At 36.6% G+C, this 12,269-nt stretch overlaps 1 long non-coding RNA gene across 1 annotated transcript in view; it reads left to right on the forward strand.

Annotated features, from left to right (window-relative positions):
• Nucleotides 1-211: 211 nt before the first annotated feature.
• The window catches only part of LOC101928849 (uncharacterized), a 128,376-nt gene continuing 116,318 nt past the window's right edge, over nucleotides 212-12,269 (forward strand). Inside the window, exon 1 of the long non-coding RNA XR_001746918.2 lies at nucleotides 212-323. This is a non-coding gene — a long non-coding RNA (uncharacterized LOC101928849). The remainder of the gene's footprint in view (nucleotides 324-12,269) is intronic.

Consider the following 12,269-nt stretch of genomic DNA (forward strand, 5'->3'; position numbering starts at 1 on the left):
CCCACATGAAAAATACAGTATCAGAAAAGTAAATATATGGATGGGATTAAAGCAGATTAAATACCACTAGGGACAGAAAAGATCAGAGAACTTCAATTCAAGTATCAGAAACTAAGTTTAAGAAAGCATGTTATCTTCATATGTTCATGCTGCTGTAACAAAATGTTCAAGACTGGGTAATTTATAAATAACAGAAATGTATTTCTTACAGTTCTGGAAGCTGAGAAGTCCGAAATCAAGGTACCAGCAGGGTCCGGTCTGCTGAGGGCTGCTCTCTGCTGTGCCCTCCAGAGAGAACAAATGCTGTGTCCTCCAGGAGGAAGGTAAAAAGGGCTGAACAGTTCCCTCACATGTTTTATATAAGGGCATTAATCCCATTCATGAGGCAGAAGACCTCAAGGGTAAGTCACCTCACAGAAGTCTCCACCTTGTAAAACCACAGCAAGGAGAATTAAGTTGCATCACAAATTTTGGGAGGGACACATTCAAACCATAGCGCACATGGAGAAAAAAAGTTATTGAAAATATAAACAGTGTCAACGTGACCTGTTGGAGTATATCAAGCAGCCTCTTATACAAGTCTTCAAATAAGAGAAAGTTGCAGAAAAAGTATTTGAAGAAATAATGGCTGAAAATTCTCAACATGTTAGGAGAAATACAAACTGATATATCCAAGATGCTCAAGAAGACTTAAGAAGGCTAAACACAAAGAAAACCACACAAAGGCATATAATAATCACATTCCTGAAAGCCACAGATGAAGAGAAAATTCTTAAAATCAACCAGAGAGAACAAAAATATTACACAGAAAATAACAATGCCCAGAGACTTCTTACCTGAAGATTTACAATCTAGACTATAATGAAACAATCTCTTTGAAGTATTGATTATATACATATAATCAATATAACATATATAACATGTCTTCTCTAGGTATTGAATTCTTACGATAGCTAGATAGAATTCTTACTGTCTCTCTCTCTCATCTCACAGAGATAAGAGAGAGAGAGACAGTAAGAATTCAATACCGAGAGAAGACATCTTTGAAAATAAAGGTGAAATACTTTTTTAAATAATGAAAGGTGAGAACATTTTGTCATCAGCTAATGTGATCCAAAAGAAATACTTAAAATTGTTTTAGACAAAAGGAAAATGATATGACAAAACATGCGTTCACACAAAAGAATGAAGCTTCCCAGAAATAGCACATAAATGGGTAAATATTAGAAACATACAAACTTGAGTTCTATTTTCTAGTAATGGCAGAGTACCTTATATAAGACTAAATGTCCAGATGATGAGGAAGAAAAACTGGGAAAAAATGGTAATAGTTTGAAGACAATAGAAAGCAGTCAAAAGCAGACAGAAACTGGACAGGATTTGTCTGTTGAAAAAAGAAAAGCCTTAAAAGACGGAGGAAAGAGAGGAAAAATGAGACATTATATATAAGATTATAAAAATAATAATGAAAGCTGACATTTCATCATACAAAAAAGAGGCTAAAAGATAATGAAATGACATCTTAAAATGCTGAGAGAAAAACAAAAAACACTGTCAGCCTATCATTCCACACACAGCAAAAATATATTTCAAAAATGAAGACAAAATAAAGACATTTTCAGATAAACAAAAAAATCTTGTAGCAGATACACACTGCAAGAAATATTGAAATTATTTAGACTTAAGGCATATGAAGTTACAAGGAAATGGAGATCTATAATATGAAAAGATTAGTGCTAGAAATAGTAAACATGTAAGTCAATGTAAAAGTGCGTGCTACTTAATTTCTTATGAAGTTAATTGACTAAACTGAGAAACAATGTATGGCAAGACTAGCAAAGGGATGAAAGAGGTAATAAATAGATGTATTCTTCTATAATATATTATATGTAAAGTCACATATAAATAAAGTTACACTGTCATAAGTGAAAATGCATATATAATATCAAAGAAAATACAAGATACACATATTTGTATACTTATCTCTCTCTGTATACATGAGGCCAAAAGAGCAGAGAGATGAAACATTTAAAAATATATAGTGGTTTCCAGGTACTGGCAGTGGGGGTGGAAAATGGCATTGTTTTAATAGTACAGACTTTTAGCTTAAGATGTAGAGAGCTCTAGAAGATGGATGGGCATAATGGCTGCATAACAATTTGAGTGTACTTGGTACCACTAAACTGTACAATTAAAATGGTTAAATTATATGTAATACACACATAGGTACATTTAAAATGGGAAGCTAAAAGGGTAAAATAGAAAACAGACAGCAAAATGCTATATTTAAACATGAGCCTAGTCATTTAATTTATAGCTCTATGCTGCAACAGATACATTCTATGTATGAAGACAGAAGCACTGGAAGAAATTAAATGGAAAATATACTTTTGCAAAAATAAGCATATGAAAGCTGATGTGTCTTGGTTACTATCAGGACAAAACAAAATGCAAGAAAATAATTTTTAGCAGAGATAAAGTAAATCACTTCACCATGGTAGGTGTCAATTAATCAAAATTGCAAATATTAAATTAATGAAAGAATTTTTATAGAAGTATGGGACAAATACATTAAAACTTAGCCATAATTGGAGATTTCAGTACTTCTATTTTTGTAATTAAAAGGAAAAGCAGAGAAAAGATTAATAAAAATACAGAAGATTAGAACTACAGTATAAACCAATTTGATATGACAACAGTACTCATTCAAAAACTGCAGGACAAACACTTTTCTCAAGTGTCCGTGGAATGGTCACTACAGTAGACTCAATGTTGAGGCATAAAACAGGTATTCATGAATTTCAAAACATACTCTGTTTCCTGAAGACAACAGGATAAAATTATAAATCAAAAAACAATAAAATACCTAGAAAATTTATAAATATTTCAAATTAGGCAACTCATTTCTAAATACCTATATGTCAAATAAGAAATCACAATAAAAATAAAAAAATATTTTTCACTGAATAGTAATATATCAAAAGTTGTGGGATACAGGTAAAGTGTAATGGGAAACATACACTTTTAAATACCACTGTTACAAAGGAGAAAGATTTCAATACATTATCTAATTTTCCAAATTAAGAATCTAGCAAAAGAAAAACTGATAGCAAGTGCAAGACAGTAAATATTAAAGATAAAATATAAAGACAATGAAATAGAAAGCAAACTATAAATTCACAAAGCCTAAAATGTGTTGTTTAAAAAATGAATAAAATTAGAAAGCCCTACTTTAACTAGGCCAATTAATTTGATGAATCAATCAAGACTTCAAACACTAACAATAAACAATGTTTTATTTATATAAAATACTTTTTTGCCTTTTTATTTATATAGATAAACATAATTAATAATTAAAATGTATGTCATAAAGTGCCAGGTACAAATAGATTCATTATTTATTTTTATCAATCATTGCATGAGAAATAATGCCAAAGTTACATAAATTATTTTCTAAAATAGAGAATTGCTTAATGAGATCACTTTAAACTTAAGAACAAAATTAGATATCAAATACACAAAATAAATTATAGACTAATATCCATCCTTAATATGGATGTAAAAATGCTTATCAGAATGTCAAACCTACCTCAGAAAATATTTTTTAAAGGATAAAACAGCATGACCAACTGTGTTTTTTCTAAGGAATGTAAGTTTGGTTCAATGTTAAAAAAAATAATAAACAGATTGGTGGGGGCAGAACCAAGATGGCTGACTAGAAGCAGTGGCAATCAGAGGCTCCCATGGAAAAGATTCAAAGCCGTGCAAATCCTGCACTGGTAACCAAGGCATCCAGGTTCTGTCATTAGGACTGACTAGGCAGCTGGTGTGACCCATGGAAAGGAAGGAAGGACAGTGTGGTGCAGTGGCCCACCTGAAAGCCACACAGGGCTGGGGAGCCCCTACCCTTGGCCAAGGGAGGTAGTGAGTGAGCCTGCTACCCAGCCTGGGAAACTGCTTTTTTCACAGAACTATGCAACCCCCGGATTGAAATATCCCACTTGTGAGCCCACACCACCAGGGCCTTGGGTCCCTATTAGAAAGCCACACAGATTCTAACTCTGGTAGAAGCAGCCTAAGCCAGGTTCCCAAGGAGAGGTGGGACCATCACCACTGATGCAAGCTGCCTGCTGTCTAAGCCATCTGAGCTCTTTGCAGGAGGGGCAGCAGCCAGCACTGCAGCTGCAGGGCCTCCCTGAAGGGATTCCAACTCCAGCCAGGGGCTCTGGGACAAAAACTCTGATCTCCCTGGGCCTGAGCCCCTAGCAGCAGGAGTGGCTGTAGTCTCTATGGACCAGCAGACTTAGTGTTTCCCTCTGCTAGCTCTGAGGATTCCAGGCAGCCCAGATGAGCGAATTGCCCCCCAGCACAGCACACCACCTCTACTAAGGGACAGCCAAAGTGCTTCATTAAAAGAGTCCTGCTTCCCGTGCCACCCATCCAGGTGAAACCCCCGCAACAACAGGGGTTGTCAGACATCTGTACAGCAGCATCCCTACTGGCATCAAGTCAGTGCCCCTCAAGCTCAGAGATCCCAGAGAAAAGAGCAGGCACCCATCTTTGCTGTTCCCCAGCCTCCTTGAGTGACATCTCCAGGCACAGGAGCAAACCAGATGAATAGGGCCTGAAGTGAACCCCCAGCAAACCGCAGCAACTCTACAGGAGAGGGACCTGACTTTTGAAAGAAAAACAAACAGAAAGCAACAAAGACAGCATCAATGCAAAAAGTACCCACAAAAATCTCATCCAAGGGTCAGCAGCAGCAAAGATCAAAACTAGACAAACTCATGAAGATAATAAAGAATCAATGAAAAAACGCTGAAAACCCAAAAGGCCAGAGTGCCTCTTCTCCAAATGATCACAACACCTCTCCAGCAGGGACACAGAACTGGACGGAGGGTGAGATGGGTGAATTGACAGAAGCAGGCTTCAGAAGGCAGGTAATAACAAACTTTGCTGAGGTAAAGGAACATGTTCTAACTCAATGCAAAGAAGCTAAGAACCTTGAGAAAATGTTAGAGTTGTTGCTAACCAGAATAACTGGTTTATAGGGGAAATTAATGACCTGATGGAGAAAAACACAGCATGAGAACTTTGTAAAGTATACACAAGTATCGATAGCCAAATCGATTAAGAGGAAGAAAGAATATTAGAGATGGAAGACTATCTTGTTGAAACAATGCAGGCAGACAAGATTAGAGAAAAAGGAATGTAAAAGAGGAAACAAAACCTCCAAGAAATGTGGGACTGTGTAAACAGACCCAACCTCTGACTGATTGGAGTACCTGAAAGAAATGGAGAAAATGCAACCAAGTTGGAAAACACACTTCAGGATATTATCCAGGAGAACTTGCCCAATCTAGCAAGACAGGCCAACATTCAAATTCAGGAAATATAGAGAACCTCACTAAGATACTGCACGAGAGGGTCAACCCCAAGACACATAATCATCAGATTCACTAAGGTCGAAATGAAGGAAAAAATGTTAAGGGTAGACAGAAAGGCGAGGTCACCTACACGGGGAAGCCCATCAGACTAACAGCAGATCTCTCAGCAGAAACCTTACAAGTCAGAAGAGAGTAGGGGCCAATATTCAACATTCTTAAAGAAAAGAATTTTCAACCCAGAATTTCATATCCAGCCAAACTAAGTTTCATAAGTGAAGGAGAAATAAAATGCTTTTCAGATAAGCATATGCTGATGGAATTCATTACTACCAGGCCTGCCTGGCAAAAGCTCACGAAGGAAGCACTAAATATGGAAAGGAAAAACCAGTACCAGCCACTGGAAAACACACGAAAATGTGAAGACTAATGACACTATGAAGGAACGGCATCAACAAGTGTGCAAAATAACCAGCTAGCATCATGATGACTGGATCAAATTCACACATAACAATATTAACCTTAAATGTAAATGGGCTAAATGCCCCAATTAAAAGACACAGAATGGCAAATTGGATAAAGAGTCAAGACCCATCAGTGTGCTGTATTCAAGAGACCCATCTCACGTGTAGAGACACACATAGGCTTAAAATAAAGGGACAGAGGAAAATTTGTCTAGCAAATGGAAAGCCGAAGAAAACAGGGGTTGCAATCCTAGTCTCTGACAAAACATACTTTAAACCAACAAAGATCAAAAAAGACAAAAAAAGCATTGCATAATGGTAAAGGCATCAATTCAACAAGAAGAGCTAACTGTCCTAAATACATATGCACCCAATACAGGAGCACCCAGACTCATAAAACAAGTTCTTAGAGACCTACAAAGAGACTTATACTCCCACAAGATAATAGTGGGAGACTTTATCACCCCACTGTCAATATTAGACAGATAAATGAGACAGAAAATTAACAAGGATATTCATGATAACAAGGATATTCATGACTTGAACTCAGCTTTGGATCAAGTGGACCTAATAAATACCTGCACTAATAGATATCTCCACTCCAAAACAATAAAATATACATTTTTCTAAGTACCACATGGCACTTACTCTAAAATCAATCACAAAATTGGAAGTAAAACACTCCTCAGCAAATGCAAAAGAACTGAAATCATAACAGAGTCTCTCAGACTACAGTGCAATCAAATTAGAACTCAGGATTAAGAAATTCACTCAAAACCACACAAATACATGGAAATTGAACAACTTCCTCTTGAATGACTCCTGGGTAAATAATGAAAAGACAGAAATCAAGAAGTTCTTTGAAACCAATGAGAACAAAAAGACAATGTATTAGAATCTCTGGGATGCAGCTAAAGCAGTGTTAAGAGGGAAATTTATAGCACTAAATGCTCAACATCAGAAAGCTAGAAAGATCTCAAATCAACACCCTAACATCAAAATTAAAAGAACTAGAGAAGCAAGAGCAAACAAATTCATAATCTAGCAGAAGATAAGAAATAACGAAGATTAGAGCAGAACTGAAGGAGGTAGAGACACAAAAATCCTTCAAAAAAATGAATGAATCTAGGAGTTCGTTTTTTGAAAAAAGTAATAAAATATACTGCTTGCAAGAATAATAAAGAAGAAAAAAGAGAAGAATCAAATAGACACAATAAAAAATGATAAAGGAGCTATCACCCACCACTGACCCCAGAGAAATACAAACTACCATCAGGGAATACTATAAACACATCTACACAAATAAACTAGAAAATCTAGAAGAAACAGATAAATTCCTGGACACATACACCCTCCCAAGACTAAACCAGGAAGAAATGGAATCCTTGAATAGAACAATAACAAGTTCTGAAATTGAGGCATTAATAAATAGCCTACCAACCAAAAAATGCCCAGGACCAGATGGATTCACAGCCAAATTCTACTAGAGGTACAAAAAGGAGCTGGTACCATTCCTTCAGAAAATATTCCAAACCATTGAAAAGGAGGGACTCCTCCTTAACTCATTTTATGAGGCCAGCCTCATCCTGATACCAAAACCTGGCAGAAAAACACACACAAAAAAAGAGAACTTCAGGCCAATATCCCTGATGAATTTTGATGCAGAAATCCTCAATAAAATACAGGCAAACCGAATCCAGCAGCACATCACAAAACTTATCCACCATGATCAAGTTGACTTCATCTCTAGGATGCAAGTCTGGTTCAACATATGCAAATCAATAAACGTAATCATCACATAAGCAGAACCAATGAGAAAAACCACGATTGTCTCAATAGATGCCGAAAAGGCCTTTGATAAAATTCAGCACAGCTTCATCCTAAAAACTCTCAATAAACCATGTACTGATGGAACGTATCTCAAAGTAATAAGAGCTATTTATGACAAACCCACAGCCAATATCATACTGAATGGGCAAAAGCTGGAAGCATTCCCTTTGAGAACTGGCACAACACAAGGATGCCCTCTGTCAACACTCCTATTCAGCATAGTATTGAAAATTTTGGCCAAGGCAATCAGGAAAGAGAAAAAAATGAAGGGTATTCAAATAGGAAGAGAGGAAGTCAAATTGTCTCTGTTTGCAGATGACAAGATACTGTATTTAGAAACCCCATTGTCTCAGCACCAAATCTCCTTAGGCTAATAAGCAACTTCAGCAAAGTCTCCGGATACAAAATGAATGTGCAAAAATCACAAGCATTGCTATAACCAACAACAGAATAGCAGAGAGCCAGATCATGAATGAACTCCCATTCACAATTGCCATAAAGAGAATAAAATACCTTAGGAATACAGCTAAAAAGAGACATGAGGGACCTCTTCAAGGAGAACTACAAACCACTGCTCAAGGAAATAAGAAAGGACACAAACAAATGGAAAAACATCCCATCCTTATAGATAGGAAGAATCAATATCATGAAAATGGCCATACTGCCCAAAGTAATTTATAGATTCACTACTATTCCCATCAAACTACCATGCACATTCTTCACAGAATTAGAAAAAACTACTTTAAAATTCATATGGAACCAAAAAAGAGCCCACATAGCCAAGACAATACTAAGCAAAAAGAACAAAGCTGGAGGCATCATGCTACCTAACTTCAAACTATACTACAAGGCTACAGTAACCAAAACTGCATGATACTGGTACCAAAACAGACATATAGACCAATGGAACAATAGAGACCTCAGAAATGAGACCACACATCTACAACCATCTGATCTTTGACAACCCTAACAAAAACAAGCAATGGGGAAAGGATTCCCTATTTAATAAATGGTGCTGGGGAAACTGGCTAACCACATGCAGAAAACTGAAACTGGACCCCTTCCTTACACCTTATACAAAAATTAACTCAAGATGGATTAAAGACATAAATGTAAAACCCCAAACCATAAAAACCCTAGAAGAAAACCTAGGCAATACCATTCAGGACATAGGCATGGGCATAGATTTTGTAATGTTGCCAAAAGCAATGACAACAAAAGCAAAAATTGACAAATGGGTTCTAACTAAACTAAAGAGCTCTGCATAGCAGAAGAAACTATCATCAGAACAAACAGGCAACCTACAGAATGGGAGAAAATTTTTGCAATCTATCCATCTAACAAAGGTCTTATATCCAGAATTTACAAGGAACCTAAACAAATTTTCAAGAAAAAAACAACCCCATCAAAAAGTGGGTGAAGGATATGAACAGACACTTCTCAAAAGAAGACATTTATGTGGCCAACAAACATATGAAAAAAAAAACTCAGCATCATTGATCATTAGATAAATTCACATCAAAACCACAATGAGATACCATCTCACACCAGTCAGAATGACAATTATTAAAAAGTCAGGAAACAGATGCTGGTGAGGCTGTGGAGAAATAGGAACACTTTTACACTGTTGGTGGGAATATAGATTAGTTCAACCATTGTGGAAGACAGTGTTGCAATTCCTGAAAGATCTAGAACCAGAAATACCATTTGACCCAGTAATCCCATTATTGGGTATATACCCAAAGGAATATAAATCATTGTATTATAAAGATACATGCATATGTATGTTTATTGCAGCACTATTCACAATAGCAGTGACATGGACCAATCCAAATGCCCATCAATGATAGACTTGATAAAGAAAATATGGTAAATATACACCATGGAATACCATGCGGCCATAAAAAGGAATGAGATCATGTCCTTTGCAGAGACATGGACGAAGCCGGAAGCCATCATTCTCAGCAAACTAACACAGGAACAGAAATCCAGACAGTACATGTTCTCACTCATAAGTGGGAGTTGAACAATGAGAACACATGGACACAGGGAGGAGAACAACACACACTGGGGCTTGTTGGGGGTGGGGTCAAGGGGAGGGAGAGTATCAAGACAAATAGCTAATGCATATGGGGCTCAAGACCTAGGTGACGTGAAGATAGGTGCAGGAAGCCACCATGGCACACTTATACCTATGTAACAAACCTGCATGTTCTGCACATGTATCTTAGAACTTAAAGTTAAAAACTAAATAAAATAATAATAATAATCAGTATAATTTCTCACACTAAAAGATAAAAACCCAAAAATATACATGTTTATCTTATTTGTATGCAGAAAATACAATTTGGCAAAATTTAAACACAAGCCATGAAGACAGCTTTTACCAAAATAGAAATGGAAAGCAAATTTCTCAATTTGAGTAAGGGCCTACATGGAAAACAAAGAACTATCATCATAGTGGTGAAATATTGAACACATACTCCCTGTGACTGAGAACAAGTCAAAGATATATGTTTTTACTGCTTCTATGTAGACTTGTACTGGATATCTTATATTATGACTTAAAGCATGAAAAATGAAAAGCACAGAACTTAGAAAACAGAAGTCTTTTTGTTCATAGAGGAAATGGTATTAACAGAAAAATCTTAAAGACTTTAAGTTTCTAGAACTTGGGCACATATACATTTCTAGAATTAGGCAATTTTGCAGGATATGGGGTCAATATACAAAAAATTATTTATTTAACTTTTAAGTTCAAGGGTACAAGTGCAGGTTTGTTACATAGGTAAACTTGTGTCATGGGGTTTCTTGTACAGACTATTTCCTCACCCAGGTATTAAGCCTAGTACTCATTGGTTATTTTTTCGATCCTCTTCCTCCTTTCACCTTCCACACTTCAATAGAGCCAAGTGTTTGTTGATTCTTCTTTTTGTCCATGTGTTCTCACCATTTAGCTCCCACTTACAAGTGAGAACATGCAGTATTTGGTTTTCTGTTCCTGTGTTAGTTTGCTAAAGATAATGGCCTCCAGTTCTACCCATAGCCCTGTAAAAGACATGATCTTGGTTTTGATTTGCAATTCTCAGATCAGTGATGCTGAGCTTTTTTTCATATGATTGATGGCTACATGTATGTCTTTGGAAAAGTGCCTATTCACGCCCTTTGTCTGCTTTTTAATGAAAGCTGTTTTTTTTCCTGTAAATTTGCTTAAGTTCTTACAGATATTAGACCTTTGTCAGATGCATAGTTTGCAGAAGTTCTCTCCCATTCTATAGGCTGTTTACTCTCATGATAGTTTCTTTTGTGTGCAGAAATTCAATTAGATTCTATTTGTCGAGTTTCACTTGTGTTGTAGTTGCTTTTGGCATCTTCGTCATGACATCTTTGCCTGTGCTTATGTCCTGATAGGTTAAAAGTGTTCCCATTCACAATTCTCACAAAAAGAATGAAATACCTAGGAATGCAGCTAACTTAGGGGGGTAGAAGATCTCTACAAGGAGAGCTACAAAACACTGCTCAAAGAAATCAGAGCTGACACAAACAAATGGAAAAACATTCCATGCTCATGGATAGGAAGAATCAATATCATTAAAATGGCCATACTGCTCAAAGGAAAAGGCTCTTCCTATTAAACTACCATTGAGATTCTTCACAGAACTAGAAAAAATTACTTTAAAATTCATATGGATCCAAAAAAGAGCCAAGGCAATACTAAGCAAAAACAAAACAAAACAAAACAAAAAAAACCTGGAGGCTTCATCCTACCTGACTTCAAACTATACTACAGGGCTACAGTAACCAAAACAGCATGGAACTGGTACACGACCAGACACATAGACCAGTGGAACAGAATAGAGAACCCGGTAATAAGACCACACACTTAGACCTATTTGATCTTCAACAAACCTGACAAAAACAAGCAATGGAGAAAGGATTCCTTATTCAATAAATGGTGTTGGGATAACTGGCTAGCCATATGCAGAAGATGGAAACTGGACCCCTTTCTTACACCATATACAAAAATTGACTCAAGGTAGATTAAAGACTTAAATGTAAAACCCAAAACTTTGAAAACTCTGGACATTTTTTTTTTTTTTTTTTTTGAGATGGAGTCTTGCTCTGTCACCCAGGCTGGAGTGCAGTGGCACAATCTCGGCTCACTGCAGCCTCCACCTCCCAGGTTCAAGCAATTCTCCTGCCTTAGGCCTCCTGAGTAGCAGAGACTATAGGCATGCGCCACCCCACCCAGCTAATTTTTGTATTTTTAGTAGAGACGGGGTTTCACCATGTTGGCCAGGATGGTCTTGATCTCCTGACCTGGTTATCCACCTGCCTCAGCCTCCCAAAGTGCTGGGATTACAGGCGTGAGGAAAAAGTATTTTTAAATGACAGCAACAAGTAACAAGAGGAAGTGAATTTTAGAAGATTGTTTATAATTAGCCTCAAACTATAAAATAATTAAGATAAATTTAATGAAAACTATGTAAGACCTATCAAAAACAAAAACACACTGCAGAAATAAAGAACAACTTAACAAATGTAGAGATATAACGTGACCTTTAATTTAAATATTTAATGTTCCTGAGAT

This window comes from Homo sapiens, chromosome 9 (assembly GCF_000001405.40).
Source record: "Homo sapiens chromosome 9, GRCh38.p14 Primary Assembly".
Taxonomy (NCBI): Eukaryota; Metazoa; Chordata; class Mammalia; order Primates; family Hominidae; genus Homo; species Homo sapiens.